The sequence below is a fragment of the Homo sapiens genome, chromosome 1 (assembly GCF_000001405.40).
Source record: "Homo sapiens chromosome 1, GRCh38.p14 Primary Assembly".
Taxonomy (NCBI): domain Eukaryota; kingdom Metazoa; phylum Chordata; class Mammalia; order Primates; family Hominidae; genus Homo; species Homo sapiens.
The window spans coordinates 79,490,317-79,508,510 of NC_000001.11; positions in this window are offsets into that span (position 1 = coordinate 79,490,317).

An 18,194-nucleotide genomic window follows, 5' to 3' on the forward strand; every position below is an offset into this window, starting at 1 on the left:
TCAATAAATCAAGCGTGATCAGGGTGAGGAACAGGAAAGAAGGAAATATGGGGAAATGTGGTGAATGTCAGGTGGATCAGAGAGATACAGTCATGGAGGTCAGGTGTGGTATCAGGAATAATGTGGGAGGCCAGATTGAAGTCCGGGCCAGGAACAATGGTAATTGTGGGAGTTAACAAAGAGTGAGTATAGCTGAAGGAGCCAGGAAGCCGAAAGTATATGCGTCAGGTATGAGGAAGAAAATAGATTTTGGAAGTTATGAGAAATGTAGAGAGTAAGTTGAGCATAGTTTGTGATTTTTAGGGCCTCTAAAAGTATTAGGGTGGCAGCAGCCACGCACGCAGACATGAGGGCTAGGCTAAAACAGTAAGGTCAAGTTGTTTGGACAGAAAGGCTACAGGGTGCGGTCCTGGCTCTTGTGTAAGAATTCTGACCGCACAAACCATGCCTAGGAAGGAAAGGAGTTGTTGTTTTGTAAGGGATTGAGGTTTGGGAGATTAATTGGACATCAGCAGGGAGAGCACGTGTGTTTTTATGAGAATTATGCTGAGATAGGTAACAGATAAGGAATAAATTTGGGCTTGACTGAAGTAATGGGGGCTGTCTGTGAAACTTTGCGGCAGTACAGCCCAGGTAATTTCCTGAGCCTGATGGGTGTCAGGGTCAGTCCAGGTGAAAGCGAAGAGAGGCTGGGATGATGGGTGCAAAGGAATAGTAAAGAAAGCAGGTTTGAGATCCAGCACAGAATAATGGATTGTGGAGGGAGGTATTGAGGATAGGAGAGTATATGGGTTTGGCACCATGGGGTGGATAGGCAAAACAATTTGGTTGATAAGGCATAGATCCTGAACTAACTTGGAAGGCTTGTCTGGTTTTAGGACAGGTATAATGGGGGAATTGTAAGGAGAGTTTATAGGCTTTAAAAGGCCATGCTGTAGCAGGTGAGTGATAACAGGCTTTAATCCTTTCAAAGCATGGTGTGGGATGGGATATTGGCATTGAGCGGGGTAAGGGTGATTAGGTTTTAATGAGATAGTAAGGGGTGCATGATCGGTCGCCAAGGAGGGAGTAGAGGTATCTTATTCTTGTGGGTTAAGGTGGGAGAATACAAGAGGAGGACGCAAAGGAGGCTTTGGATTGGGAAGAAGGGCAGCAATGAGATGTAGCTGTAATACAGGAATAGTCAGGGAAGCAGATAATTTAGTTAAAGTGTCTCGGCCTAATAAGGGAACTGGGCAGGTGGGGATAACTAAAAGGAGTGCTTAGAAGAGTATTGTCTAAGTTGGAACCAGAGTTGGGGAGTTTTAAGAGGTTTAGAAGCCTGGCCGTCAATACCCACAACAGTTATGGAGGCAAGGGAAACAGGCCCTTGAAAAGAAGGTAATGTGGAGTGGGTAGGCTCCGTATTGATTAAGAAGGGGACGGGCTTAGCTTCCACCGTGAGAGTTACCCGAAGCTCGGCGTCCGTGATGGCCTAGGGGGCTTCCGAGGTGATCGGGCAGAGTCAGTCTTCAGCCGCTAAGCCAAGAAGATCTGGGAAGCCGTCAGAGAGCCTTGGGCCAGAGTTCCAGGGGCTCTGGGAGTGGCTGCCAGGTGAGTTGGACAGTCCGATTTCCAGTGGGGTCCCGCACAGATGGGACGTGGCTTAGGAGGAATCCCGGGCTGCAGGCATTCCTTGGCCTGGTGGCCAGATTTCTGGCACTTGTAGCAAGCTCCTGGGGGAGGATGTTCTGGAGGAAGGCCTGGCCGCTGTGGTTCAGGCGTTTGGAAGTTCTTGTGTGCTGGAGATGTGGCTGGGGTTTGTCTCACAGTGGAGGCAAGGAATTGCAACTTTTTTCTATTATTGTACACCTTGAAGGTGAGGTTAATTAAATCCTGTTGAGGGGTTTAAGGGCCGGAATTTAATTTTTGGAGTTTTATTTAATGTCGGGAGCAGATTGGGTAATAAAATGTATTTTGAGAATAAGACGGCCTTTTGACCTTTTAGGGTCTAGGGCTGTAAAGTGTCTCAGGGTTGCTGCCAAACAAGTCATGAACTGGGCTGGATTTTTATATTTGATGAAAAAGAGCCTAAACGCTATCTGATTTGGGATAAAGAAAAAGGAGCATTAACCTTGACTATGCCTTTAGCTCCAGCCACCTTTTTAAGAGTAAATTGCTGGGCAGGTGGGGGAGGGCTGGTCACGGAACGAAACTGTAAGCCGGACCAGGTGTGAGGAGGGGAGGTGATAAAAGGATTATAGGGTGGAGGAGCAGAGGCTGAGGAAGAATTGGGACGTAGCTCGGCCTGGCGAGGAGCAGCCTGGGGAGGAGGGGAGAGGTCAGATGGGTCTGTAGAAATGGAAGATTAGAAAGACTCAGCGACCCTTGGGGTTGGGACTGAGGGGACGGGTGGGAGGGAAAGAAGGAAGATTTGGGATGAGTTGCATTGGGAACAGAGACTAGAGAGGGACCGACGTGTAAAAGAATGCCTGGACGTCAGGCACCTCAGACCATTTACCCATCTTACAACAAGAATTATTTAGATCTTGCAGGATGGAAAAATTGAAAGTGCCGTTTTCTGGCTATTTGGAACTACTGTCGAGTTTGTATTGCGGTCAGGTGGCATTGCGGAAGAAAATAAGATGCTGAGAGTTTAGGTCAGGTGAGAGCTGAAGAGGTTTTAAGTTCTTAAGAACACAGGCTAAGGGAGAAGGAGCAATGGAGGGTGGAAGGTTGCCCACAGTGAAGGAGGCAAGCCCAGAGAAAAGAGAGAGTAGAGAAACGGAGGGAAGGGGTTTGGGGGTTCTTACCCTCCAGAAAAGCGGGAGAGGTAGGGGCACGGAAATAAGGGATCGGGGCACAGAGATATAAGAGGTTGGGGTGTGGAAATAAGGGATCAGGGCACAGAGATATGAGGTTGGGGTACTTTCCCCTCCCCTAGAAAAGCGGGACTTGCCTCTAAGGGTGAAGGACCAAGACAGGCGTCCCTGCGTGGTCTGACACCTCTGAAACATGGGTGAATAATCAGAGAGGCGTCCCTGAAATGATTAAACACCAAGGGAAGGCTGCCTTCCCAGTCCGTGACCAGCACTGGAGTTTTGGGTCCACGGATAAAACGCGTCTCCTTTGTCTCTACCAGAAAATGAAAGGAATTGAAATTAAAAGAAGGGAGAGATTGAAGTGTGGTGCCAAGATTGAAAGGAGAAAGAGGTTGAGGGATAGTAAGTGAGGTTGGAGGAGAGAGTAAAAAGAGGCCACTTACCATACTTGAAATTGGTGAGACGTTTCTTGGGCTGGTCAGTCTGAGGACCTGAGGTTGTAGGTGGATCTTTCTCACGGAGCAAAGAACAGGAGGACAGGGGATTGATGTCCCAAGGGAGGTCCCCCGATCCAAGTCACAGCACCAAATTTCACTCGTGTCTGTGTGAAGAGACCACCAAACAGGCTTTCTGTGAGCAATAAAGCTGTTTATTTCCCCTGGGTGCAGGTGTGCTGGGTCCAAAAAGAGAGTCAGGGAAGGGAGATAGGGGTGGGGCCGTTTTATAGGATTTGGGTAGGTAAATCCTACCCAATCCAGTCAAAGGGGGGGTTGTTCTCTGGCGGGCAGAGTGGGGGTTACAAGTTACTCAGTGGGGGAGCTTTTGAGCCAGGATGAGCCAGGAGAAGGAATTTCACAAGACAATGTCATCAGTTGAGGCAGGAACAGGACATTTTCACTTCTTTTGTGGTGGAATGTCAGCAGTTAAGGCAGGAACCAGCCGTCTGGATGTGTACATGCAGGTCACAGGGGACATGATGGCTTAGCCTGGGCTCAGAGGCCTGACATAGTATAATTTCCACCATCGATTCATCAATCAATTAGCACCAATCAGTTAATCAATCATCATCATCAGTAATTGTTCTTAAATATGTATTGAGCACAAATCATGTTATGACATTACCTTAGAAATTAAGTAAATCTATTGGTGTAAAAATGAGTTATTTTTAATGGCAGCTTATGGTTGACTTGGGGAGGCTCGATATATTGATAAAAAAATGAATTTAAGATAATGTATGATACAGAACAGAAAATGTGTTCTGTGATAGTTCACAGGCAGGAGCGTTTGAGGAGATAGTTCTCCATGAGTCTATCATATTACTGCACAAGCAGAGGCACTGATTCCTTTTGTTCCAGATTATCTCTTATGGATGTTTGTATAACAAGCAGCTTAGAATGTATGGTGTGTCCCTCAGAGTAAAGGGTAGATTTGTGGGCTGCCTAGTGTGATAAAGATAATGTTTCCCTCTAGGAAAAGATTAGGCAGATTTGCTTCCAGTCCATTACAGAAACTCAAGGTTTTCTAAACTCAGGGTTCCTCAGCTCTGATGCAAACCCTCTGCGTGCAAAGCTTCCACAGGAACCATTTTATGTCATTCTGTAGGATTTGAGTAAGAAGGGAGCTGACACAAACATGAAGCTCATAGTGCTTTCTGTGCCATGAGGAGTAAAATCCTATGTCTCTGACCCAAGAGTGTTTTGTTTTCTGCCAGTACATATGAAATTGTGGCAGACTGACTTACTAGTTTGCAAGTAGGCTAAAATTTCAGCCCTTTCACAATTCCTTACAGAGGTTTGTTTTGGAGGAAAGAATCTCAACGTTTAGATTATATAAGTGTAAATAAATTCTTCCCAGGTTTTGGCACATTCCTAGTCATGGACAACTTTTAATTATCTAGAATTTAGAACTCCATCAAACCCCAAATAAAAATGAAGGAGTGTGGTGTAGGTAAAAGGTGTAATTCACAAATTTGTTTGTTGAGGGTGAATGTAACAGGACACACATATGTGAAAGAAAGAGGGGTTGGAAAAGTTGAGTAATTTCAAAATTATGTTTGATTTGCTATTTGACTTGTGTTACTTGAGTAAAAGCCATGATGATAAACCCCTTAATTTTTGCCCAAAACGTTGTATAGATGGTAATTTTTCAGTTGAAAATCCTTATTGTAAATTATATTATTTCTCCATATGTTTATTCTCTAATTTGATTTTTGGCAAGCAGTGTTAGTTATCCTCATCTTGTTTCTGTACAGAAATGTATATAGCATAGCTTTGAAATTATGGCTACCAAATGGAAGATAGCTTCCTATTAAGAGATTTGATCATGGGCATGCTTATGTTCAATAAAAGTTATCAAAATCATGATCATAATTAGGAAATTTGATTCTCCTCATGTACAGCACGTTATGAATTATGCGGAGTTATTTTTGAACCACAATGCAACACTAAATTAGGTTCCTCTTTCTTTAAAAAAATTAAAGAATAATCAGTTACTATTCTCTCCTCATTTCTAATTTCTACAATGGTGCCTTGATTGTAAACCTACAGAAATCATGTCTTTTTTCTCCCCCTATTTTCTGTTTTAATATCACTTCACATCCGTTTCACTTTTTCTCTGGGGCTCGTTTATGAAGCCCACTGGCACTGGTAATGATTCTTCATGGTGGAACCCAGCAAATGCTGTTGCCATTTCTCTTAAGCCAGACTAGTCTTGCAAACATACTGACTCCATTTAGTGAAAATAAAAGGGGATAGAACAGAAAGAGGAGATCATGCGTATCTTAAAATAACAACAGCCATATGACAGTTTCAGGCCTGTGTTTGGAGAGAATTTGCATATATCCCATTAAGCCTGCCTGAGCTCCACTTTCAAATTTTGATGTTGCCAGTCAATTTGCAGAGGTCAACAATATCTTTTCCTAAATGCAAGTTTTCTTATAATTGCACCTCAATAACTGACAACTGGCCCTGACAAAAAGACAAGAAAGACAAGTGTTTGTTGCAAGAAAACATCAATATACAGCGTTTTGTAGACAGGACTACTCTGGAGAGACTCTGCTATATTTGGACCATTAGCATCAAGTCAAGGTTTCAAATGATAAATTCAATTAGAGTGGAGTTGACTAAGTGATCTAAAATAGTGTGCATTAGGAGCAATGTACAAGCATGGAGTTCATTAAATAGCAGTATCAGTGTGATCACCTTTTAGTAACATAATCAATTTACTGGTCTTTGAATAGTAGCAGTGGTCAGACTAAATTAAATTTAATGTACATTGACCAAGTGATTTACAGTATCTAGATTTACAGTATCTCAGAATAAAGAATGATGACTTTCAAGCATTCCAGGAACGAAGGGAGGAATAAATTATAATATGGGCCAAGTAAGGTGAGAAAACTTATCTTTTGTTTGCTTCCAAGTTTTACAATAGTTCTTTTTCTGAAGTCTGCAAAAAAAATGTCAGACTAATTGGAATCCTGTGAACCCCACAGATACTACAGACTTGAGTGCTGCATTGACAAATCGGTATTCCATTTAAATTCCCATCAAAGCCTTTGAGGTTTATATTCCTGAATTCCTAATGACAGGTGCTATGCAATCAGCACTATTACCATATGCTGGAAATAGGCATTGTAGCTTAATAAGGAAAGCTTGAAGATTCAAAGACGGGACAAGCAAAACAGTCTGAATTTATTACAAGCACATCCAAATCCTTCATCTTTCAACTTTTTTCTTAAAATATGATATATGAATAAAAGAATAGTAACAAAGATCTTATCTGAGTGGTGGCCACATGTGTCATATTCAGATATATTTTTCCACAGCCTACATTTTGTCCCCAGAGAGCTGTTGTCTATTTGTATAAGATTTGCCAATAACCATCACAGCCATGTCCAATATTCTATACTTGTACTCCAAGTGTCTGGCTTGTTGATGATTTGGGGGGAAAAAATTAGAGGACCAGTGGAAATCTGTTTGATGTGTTTATGCTCCACATGCTCTTTAGAATAAATCAGCTTCCTATATTTTAACAGCAATTGGTACTATTCAGGGTTAGAACAGGTTGTATACCAGAAATTCTAAACTATAATAGATACAGCGGTTGCTACCAAATAAAATAAGATACGTCTTCAATGGAGAACACTTTTTTAAAGTACCCAGGTTTTACATATATTCTTTAAAATTCCTTTACTACACTTCAATTCCTGCCAGAATTGACTGCTATTCTGTTAGGCAGGGCTAGGGGGTGCTATAACCTTACAGCTGAATGAAATCTGCACCCCAGTGTTGAAAACAAGATATTTTATCAGCCTCAGATCAGAAAAGGTAGGATGTACATGTGTTTGGACAAGCGTGCACACATAGGTTTCTATCCACTTTGGTAAGGTATGAGAAAGAAGAAATTTGAGTAAGAATATTTGCAACTGTTGATTTTTACATAGAATATGTTGGTGCTTCAAATCATTCTAAGTTTTAAAACGTGAATTTTGCATTTTAGTTAAATTATTGAGATTATTTTTTCTTAAGTAAATATTTTTATCTTTCTCCAAATTTTAAGAAAGAGATTCTAGAGGATAATTGAAATTCTGGATAGGCAATTATGCTAATTAAGAATTTTATTATATAATGTTTTTTATTAAGCCAATTGTGTTTCAGGTCAACCTAAGAATATTGTATTTTAGAAAGTAGCAAAAAAGCCAATTCCATCATTTAATTTACTAATTTTCTCACACTTTAGAAAATTAAATATTTTTGGTAAAGAACAAGATTTTCTTAAGTTAGAAAACAGTGTAAGTAATATTGAGCCACTATCATTATTGCTTTTCCTTCTTTAGAAGTATTGAGGATATTTTGGAATTTTTTATATTTTTATTGCAACTTTCTTTTGAATGAGACTTTCCCTAACTAATTAGTAATTAAGTAAAGAAGAGATTTTCTACTCTCTCTCTCTCTTTTTTTTTTTGAGACAGGGTCTCACTCTGCTGTCCCTGCTGGAGTGCAGTAGTTTGATCTCGGTTCACCACAACCTCCACCTCCCTGGCTCAAGTGATTCTCCTGCCTCAGCCTCCCGAGGAGCTGGGATTACAGGCACCCACCACCACACCTGGCTAATTTTTGTATTTTTAGTAGAGAAGGGTTTCACCATGTTAGCCAGGCTGGTCTTGAACTCCTGACCTCAAGTGATCCACTTGCCTTGGCCTCCCAAAATGCTGGGATTACATGCGTGAGCCACCACACCAGGCAGAAGAGATTTTCAAAAAGAACCTTTATATAAAATGTCTTTATATGTAATGTATTTTGTAAGACTCAGATTTACTGTCTTTAGAAGCTGGAATCATAGTGATTTCTTTTTGGCATATTTGGTTTCTTGATAAGCTATTTTTTAAAGGAAATTTTAAATAATGCAATCATGTCATGTCGTTTGAATCCTCCCTATCTTCTAACTTTTGAAGACAACCTGAAACAGGAGATTGGTGAGGAATAAAGCACTTGTGAATTTGGTTAAATTAATTTCAGAAAAATGTGTTAAATCCTACAATGCCTAGCACTATGATAGACCCTACAAATATGGGATGAATGAAAGTGAGGGCCTGTCAGTGGGAAGCTTGGTCCAATCTTTTCTTCATTATGAAGATGGAATATGGACCCCAGATTGGTTTGATTTCATGAACATAGAGAAAAGCCTCCACCTAGTTACTTTACTTGGCCTTTAAATAAGTTACACAGTTTGAAACACCTTTGCTATGTAGGAAAGATGTGAATTGATCTTTGTCTGAAAAGCATACTTTGTACTTCTGAGAAGAATGCTGTTTTTTACATCATCAATTATTTTCACTTATGGGGAGGCCTTCCTTAGGTCCCGGATTTCAGAGGGCAATTAAATTTAATTAATTTGGCAAATAGTGAATGAGAACTTACAATATACCAGTCCTGGTCATCAACTATGGGGACGGGGTGGTTTCTGTCATATTGGAGCCCACATTGTAGTTGAGGAATGAAAAATTACGGAGAAAATTTACGGTATGTTTTACTCTGTGAAACAGGCTAAGTAGACGATGTGAAAATACTTCAAGGGAAAATTACCTAACCTGTATTCTCTAACATGAAAATCACAGCCAAAGAAAAAGAGACAATAAATGTGTGGGATGCAGCAGTTGGAACCACTTTAAATTAACACTAAATTCCTGATTTTATTAAGAAATACCATTAGATTACAGGTTTCTAAGTGATGAGTAGTTATGTTTTGACTGACTGACTGTAAGTAGGGGTTTTGACTTAAACAGTTTTTTTTTGTGTACCCCTTGTGGCGCTCAAAATCATTGTGTATAAAAGACATCAATGAAGTGTTTTTCTACTGATTATTTGTTACTGAAATAATGATATGAAATGCTGTTTTCCTGTTACATGATTAAAATAAGCATTTAAAAGAAAATCTCAAATATATAAACCCCTTAGGGATCCAAGAATCTTAAAACTTGCTTGTCCTAATAATGAGTTAAAATGCATTGTTATTTGTGCATGGTGTTTGTGAGTGGATGTGTGTATTTATTGAACTGTGTGTGTGAAAGTGATTTAGGAGGTCAGCAAGGGCGCCCTTTCTCCTGTGCAGTCTTTACAGCTATTCAGCCCTTGCCAGTCAGAATGTGATGGATGAGTTCAGGAATTGAACTCTGACCCTCACTGGGAGAACATGGACCTTGTCAGAGGTATCTCAAAGAATTCCCATTATCCTTTCATTTTAAAGATTCTTGAAATTGCTTGTAATTCTTGCCTTAGGTAATGAAAACTTTCTTTTCAGTTTATAATAAGCTAATAGCAAAATGATGTGCATTCCAAATATCCACTCATGGCATAAAATTACTATCTGACTCAGATAATATTAATATTATAGCCAAAAAGTATTAATTGCCACTGCAACTTTTATCAAAATAATTGACCAAATTCACCTAATGGCTGTAATTTATTTGTAGCACTGAACAATTATTGGAGAAGATGAAGCCAATTGCCATAGAATAAAAATTATTCTTGTAATTTGTATACTGCATTGTTCCTGAGCACACATACAAACTCTATGTGTAATGCATAAACTCTTTAAAAAAAATTAAACACATACAAAAACACAAGCTCAGTCAGCATTAGCATTTAATTAACTGATTCCTCAAAAATAACTGGATGTTTGATTATTTGTTTCACGTCAATCCTGCTGTTGGCTGCATTTTATTTTATTATTTTTTAAAAGCCTGAATAATGAAATCCAAAACCCCACATCTAGCTCAGAGCTCCCAAAATGCCTCTAAGATAGTTGTATAGTAAAGCAACTACATCTAATTCAAGTAGGCATATTTAATCAATGGGAAAATTGTTAAGTGTCCCAAAAGAAACTATGTTAAAAAATTATTGTAAAACAACGTATATGCTGAATATACTTCAGTTCAGTTAATTTTTTTCTAAGATGTAACAATCAACTAACACTAAAATTGACAACCTTATATAAGACCATTAGGTGACATTTAAGAGCAGAATCAGCATTGCTTCTTATTTCACAGGATTTCTCAGATATTAGAATGCTTTTAGCACTATGTCTGGGGTGACCTGATTATGACAGATTTATTTTCCTTATAAATTGCTTTTAAAGATAAACAGAAGCCATTTGGGAAGAGATTTATTCTTCTCAAAATCAAAAACTCTAGCTACAAGAAAAAGCTTGCAGTTAAAATAAAAGCTGTATTTAAATATTCAACATTCAACAAAGGACATAACTAAGTTAAGTCTCTATATAATCAGAAAACATGGGATTCTACCAAAAAATTATTCATGAGGAATGGGAAGGTTAAGAGAGGAGAAATGCTTAAGTCTTACAAATTAAGCTTCAGAAACACAATTCAAGAAGGGATTGTAGCAATATGGTACCTGTTTTCACATATATTATGACATATCAAAACTTAAACATGCTTTCAGTGGTTTATTCAATATTTCATCTCCAAATAATAGTCAAAATGAAAGAATCTATTTTATGGTATTTGTTAGTTCTTCATTAATTTATCAGTTTAGTCATCCCTTTATCCACCACTCCCTTTTTCACTGCTTCCTCCTAGCACGTAGTTATAACATCTAATAGCTTTGTTTTAAATGCTAATAAAGTGTTTATTGTCATTCAGTGGTATTGCATCAGTAATATTTTCTTCAGGAATTCCAAAAAGCACAACTCTAGGTGGAGCCAAGTACGTTACGCAATCTGAGAATGGTGTTCCTCAGTGGTATTCAAGCAGAGTCACATGATAAAGCTCTGATGGATGTAATAGATGATAAGGCATAGCTCCTAGCAATTGCTAGATAAAGGCTAATTTATGATTGTGTCTCTCAACAATCCAGTTTTCCCTACCCTGACCCCTCCTCTATGTTATAACTTACAATAATGTAAGTTTATATTTGGTAAATTTCATAGTAGTAATAAAATTATTACCTCTGTACATATTTATTGGTTATCTTCTATTTGCACCTTGTTCTATATAGGTGCTAATGTGTTTGGTGGGTCGCCCTTTCATTCTCACATGGCCAATATTTTCCCCATCAAAATTACCTAGTTTCAATCCTGCCAATTCTACTTGAAAATGGTGAGATGATAAAATTGGAGGCAGGGGAAACTTTGAGTGAGGTATAGAAGGAAAAGTTTGCTGTCATTACTCTTCATGTTTGCTCTTCCAACTCTCTCCCCCAACCCCATATAGGATGGATGCCTTCTGAAACCAACATGTAATGATGTTTTCTCTTCATGTTTAAAAGATAGGATAAACTCTAATTATTTTTATTGCTCTTGGGTGGTTACACAAAGATCTATGTACCCCTTTTCCAGAACTAGACTACATTAAAAAGGAAGAAAATAATAACATCAACATGTGCTCTGTTCAAAGTCTCTCTTTAAAGATTATCCAGAAATCACAGGAATCCTTATTTCCTCTCAGAAAATATAAAGTCTTTTTCTTGTAGTGTCCTGAATAAAGTAAGAACGTTATAATTGAATGCCACAAATAAATCTGCCTCAAATGAGGGAAGAAAACTAAAATATTATATGTTACAAATATTCAAAATTTCTGGCCAAAGGCACATACTATAAATGGTCACAAGCCTTCTCCCTTTGAAGAATTCACAGAATAGCACTCAGAATTTGGCTGTGAGTAGTCAAGCTTCATGGCTATACAAACAATGCAGACACAGGGGTCTGAGTTTGGTTTAATGTTCTCCTGTAAACATTTTGAAATTCTTAATAGTTCATGAATACTGAGCCTCACATTTTTGTTTTTTACTGGGCTCTGCAAATTATGTGGCCATGGATTCTGGTGGAAGCACATTTGCATCAGTTTGGGTTCTTGAATGCTTGGAAGTCAAGAAAATTCCATCATCAGCAAAGGACTAGACTTGAAACAATTCCTTAGCAACTGAGAATTACTGCCATTGCTTTAGCTAGAGAATTAAGAGGCAAGAAATACTTCTGTTCATTCTCTGTCTCCTGGTTTTCTGAACATTCATGTTCAGGTTGAAATAACCAAAAGGAGCTCTGGTAAGAAGAAATATTTTTCATTTTGACAGATTCTGAAACAACCTTTCTCTTGGCTGTTTAGCTTTTCTGTTTGTATTCTCTCTTCTGCTTTCTCTGGAAATAGGTGAGTTTACAAAAGTGGAAAATTCACCTGATTCCTTTTTGGCCTTGCCTCTATGACTGCATCTGTGAATGCATCTATGAATTCCTTAGAAGCTTGGACTCTGGAAGCCAAATGCTTTGGTCTGGCTCCCCTTTGGGGTACTTAAAAATTTTTCTATAGAGTGTAAACTTGAAAAACTTTTTAATAATCTCTTCCTGAGATTTCTCATTGGTAAAATAGGAATAACAATAGTATATAGTATATATCTCGTTTCTTTTTATTAGACTTAAATGAGATAATGTATATTAAATATTTAACAAGTTCCTGGCACATACTAAATTATCAGTATATTTAACCATTTCTTTCTACTGTTAAGTTCAGCTTTAATGTCAGTCCTTTATGCATATATCATATTATCTAAAATTATATGCCAAAATATCTTGAAGTATTACGTTGGTAATTATTTTATCAATAAGAATTATTTCTGTTTTGCTACCAGCACTATGTAAATGTTGTTTCTCTGTTGCCTCTTCCTCCTTTATTTGAAGTCTTTTAAATAAATGAAATTTTATAGTAACTATTTTACATAAACGTTTTCTAGTAGTTTCTCTTTTTTCAGAGCTCCACATTTTTTCTTTTGCTTTTTCAAATAAAACATGTAAGAGGAAGCTAAAATATGAAAAAGTGCTTAATATTTTTTATATTCATAGCTTAAAACTAAATATAATACTAGCTTCCATATATTAAATCAATCTACTGGTTATTTCTATGAATCATAAAAATACCATTTCACAAATTTTACTTTCAATCACAAAGAACTGATAATGTTTTCCTTGCAAAATGAGATTTACATCCTCTTTTCTCAGCAAATGAATATAGAAAATAGTGCAAGAGATTATCGTTGGCAGAGATTCATGAATAGAAGCTGGGCGTTTTTTCTCAGGGACCCCAAAGGGGAAATGTTAACAAGGAGCTATAAGGTGGCAGAGAAAGCCTAATGAAGTTCATTTCCCACCAGTCAAAGAGATGAACATTTTAGGAGGCACAGCAATCGATCAATAGGCTTATTAAATATTAACACATCTTTCTCACTTTCTTCATTAGAGTTTTTGCAGAGTAACTAAGAATGTGACTGTGCCAAAGACTTGAACTCTTTCAAGAACCAAGGTAGACATCAGCAATCAGTGTTGATATTTAATTATAATACATGATGCTTCATCTCAGAAATACCAGTAATGTCACTGGCATGGAACTCTAAAGAATAACCATGTATAATCATCCTGTCTCTTTATCCTCCACGTGCACACACACACACACACACACACACACACACACACACACATACACTTCTTGATTAAAGTCATAAAGCCATAGTCAATTGTTAAGAATAAGCACTTGGCGTATCAGAGAGCTACTAAATAAAATCCCTAGACAGTCTTTGTGATAGTTGTTTTCAAGATCTTAGATGTCTTGACAACATTACCCTTCTAAGTGCAGGTTACAAAGTTTACTCAGACTTACCTCCTGGATATTTTAGGTGAGTGTAGTGCTCAGTCTGGACATCTGCTTTTGAAAACAGTATCCTGTTTGATTTTCAAATGTATTTTGGGGGGCCTCTCCTATTGTGATTATTGTATTGTCAGAGTGTACATTTTAACCACATAGATCTCTTAAAAAACAGCAACTGATTTCTACAGGATGCTGAAATGCCTCCTTAAATACTCAGAAAAAAATGTTTCTCCCTAATGTACTTAATTTTCTTAGTTGAATGATAAATTTGTACTACCTTAAGCAATTCTTCATCACTGTATCCTTAGACCACTGTGAGGGGTATATTTGAAGACTGAGGTTAAATTATTATAGTCATAAAAATATTTCAGGCTACAAATATGCAATTCTTAGGGAAAAATAAAACTGTTTGCTGCTTCTGAATTGAACTTTCAAAATGCTGCTTTGAGAGTATATGTTCACGCTGAAATACTTTTTTTACTCTCCATTGCCCAAAGGTCAAGTCTAGGCTTCCTCTGCAGAGGGTTTCACAATCTGGACCCTTACTTTTCATTTATATCTGTTCCCCATGTCAATCAAACTGGCACACTTAATAGACTGAATTTATTTTGTTTTCTTTCACCTTTATTATTTTGCTCACTTTCCTTGATTGGAATTCCTTTCTCTTTTATGCAGATTCCAACTATCTTCATGTAACATTATTGGGAGCCTACTATCTGCAAGGCCCTATGCTTGTGATTTTATGTGGAATCTCCAAATAAATCTCTGAAACAGTGGTTTATTTTAAAGATTAAGAAACTATGGCTTGCACATACTAAATTCCTTTCCTGAGGCACAGAGCTACAAAATGACAGAGACTAGATTTAAAATACAAGTTCAGTTTTTTTTTCTTTTTTATTTCACAGTTGCCTTCAAGCCAGATAAAATTCTATCTCCTTTATAAGCCTTCTCTACTAAATCTCAAGTAATTTCCAAACTCCTAAACAAAATTGCCTGTATAATTAACTGGCAACTGTAGTCATGTAACATTTCCTTATTCTGTGACTGCCTCCTCCTCTAAATCGTATGCTTCTTAAAATGAAGAGTTCTGACTTTTTCTAACCCCCATAATATTTTGCAAAGCCTAAATTTCTTAATCTATGTATTGATAAAACAGTAAATGGCATTGTTTCAAGTTATAAAAATTTTTTCACTTCCCTAGACCTTATCCTGTTAAAATGTACAATGTCAGAGAAATGTTTCTTTTATGTGAGGATATATGTATACTCATAAATATATGCCTCTATCTAAGAGAGGGGCAAAAAAAGAGTCCTGTTTGATATTGAACATCTAGATGGTACTTGGGAGGATGATAGTGGATCCTCAAGATCCCCTTGGTCTAAGCAGTAGTACATACATCAAGCAGATTACTAGTGTAGTAGGCATAAAGAATCATTACTCATCTGCTGTAATTGTTTATTGTCAGTGGAAACAATGCCTAAGCTCAGTATTCAAGGCAATAGTTAAAGTTAGAGATTTCATGATAGTGAATCTGTCTGAGCAAGGAGTACATTCAAACTTCAGCACTGGATTTACCTCGGCATCTTTTAACCTGCCCATGTTGTATTCAGACAAAAGAGAAATGTAAAAAATAGATTAGTGGTGTACAACATTAAGCCAATGTCAGAAATATGATTTCACCAGGGAATTATACATTCATAATATCTCCTCTTTATCTCTCTAAAAGCAAGCATACTTAAAATTTCACATAGCAATATTTCATGTTTATTTTTGTAATAGAGCCTTGATAGAAACAAATGAGATATACAAGCATACATTTCTAGGAGGTAATTTTGGAAACTGGAATAGCTTAGTACAATAAATGTTTTTAGAATAAATGAATAATTGAATATAACTAGGTTAGACTTTAGTAATAGAAATTCTATACTTAATACCTTAGAGGCCATGACAACTTTTAAAGATCTGTTAAATTTAATTTAATTCAATCCAGAAATCGGTACCTTCCTGTTTGGAGCCGTAGTAATGAGTGTTCTGTAAAAGAGCCCTTGTTGCCAGAGGAACTCCTATCAACTATAGGAATATTCAGATGATATAAGTGAGAATTTTGCCGCTAATGAAAGAAATGGGTTCAAAAAGAACTGCAGAAGGCAGGCAAATGTTGCAAGAAAGGCAGTATTAATAGTGTATTAATAGTCAAATGGCAGTGCTAGAATAATAATAATTTAAGGATATTAACAATGACATTTGTATAATTGTGGTCTGGCACTACCCCTCGAATTCAGAATGATCTTGGTTAGGATAAATGCCAAGTAAACTATTTCAACTTATTTGTAAGTTGCATTTATAACATTGATCTGAAATCCATCTGCAACTGGTATTAAACTCATTTAATGCTGTGTTAGATTCATATTCTGGAAGCTAAGCACTGGTTGAAAAGAAGTGACTGGGAAAATGGTAGGTTTGGAGAAGCACTGGAATCATAACTATAGTAGCTGTGATATTGGGAAAAGTAAGCAAGATGTGCAACAGAAGACCTGGAATGGAGTTCCAAATCCAATCACTACTAATTGAGGTCCTTTAAAAGTCTTGATCCTTTATAAATTTGACTTTATTAAATTGGGATGAAAATGTTAACACCTAACTCAGGCTGTGAAACTATTTGTCAGAAAATATCTGTGAAAGTTCTATGTAGTGGTTAAAGTACACAGAATTATTAGTATACTTCGTCAATTTATGTGAAAGACTGACACAGATGCAGATTAATAGATATCTTCTTCCCTTGTACATGATCTGTTTGTTTTTTTTTTCCTTTGGACGGAGTCTCACTCTGTTGCCCAGACTGCAGTGCAGTGGTGCGATCCTGGCTTACTGCAACCTCTGCCTCCCGGGTTCAAGCGATTCTCATTCCTCAACCTCCCGAGCAGCTGGGATTACAGGCATGCGCCACCATGCCAGGCTAATTTTGTATTTTTAGTAGAAATGGGGTTTCTCCATGTTGGTTAGGCTGGTCTCAAACTTCCAACCTCAGGTGATCCGCCCTTCTCGGCTTCGCAAAGTACTGGGATTACAGGCATGAGCCACCGCGCCCGGACAATCTGTTTCTTCTTAATGAATGGCAAAAGGAAAAGTATTCTATAGGCTGATAGGCTTTGGAAAGGCCTTCTTTGCAAAAGTGCCAGTAGTTTGTTAACTTGTTATGTTTTATGTCAAACAAACTCCTACTTTTCTTCCCACCTTTGAAAGACAGAGTTCATTTGCAAATATCCCCAATTGAAGTAACGTACTAATGGCACATGAAGGTAAAAGTGACTGATGACAGATTAATCTCTGAGATAAGATTTGATAGCAATGGGTTAACTAGTCAAAAAAGCCCTACAACTTTGATATCCAAGGTGCGGAGTACCTTGACAGAGATGCAGCATTTAAAAAGGGATGAATGAGAGTGCCACAAAAATATGGAGTCACTTTAAGTAGAATTCACCCTGTGGTCAAACGATGTAGCAGATTCTTTGGCAGATCAAAGAGAAAATCTAGTTTCCTCAGATAAAGGAGCTTAAACAGTTGAGGAAACAAAAATGGGACCTCAAAATACTTTAGTCAAAGCAGAAAACATGTGAACTAAATGACTGAAAAACTATTCCTGGGGGTGGAAAGTTTAAAAAAGTCACTTTTGAGTCTAGGGAGCAAAGGCCAACAGAGAAACTGAAGAGTAAACACACCATGGTTAAGAGGGAAACTTTTGCCACTGAGTGATGCTGGTGTCAAGAGTATATTTGAAATTACCTTAGAGATCAAGGGTAGAAATTCTGTCTTGGCTAGTGGAGTCGGGAGAAAATCTCCGTGTGTAAGAGGAGAGATCAAAGTTAAAACCTCAAAGCTTCCCAGAAAACCACAGACAAAGTAGCATGTTTCTAATGCACCCTGAATGTGCATTTCCAGAGGCAACACAGAAGTTGAGGGTATTTTGTGAATATGCATTAGAAAATAACAATTATTTTAAATTATGATATTACTTGTAATATAATATTTATATATTTATATAATATAATAAGGGGGAAACAAAGCCATGAGATAAAAAGGCATTATATATTTAGGTAGGTTCAATAGATACTATACATAGTTGTATTTTTGTACTTTGATCCAATTCATACATAAAATTTAATATCTTTAAAGTGAGATAAAATTTAAGCAACTTAAATTTTAGATAATGCCAAAATTAGATTTAGATGCAAGGAATTATTTTC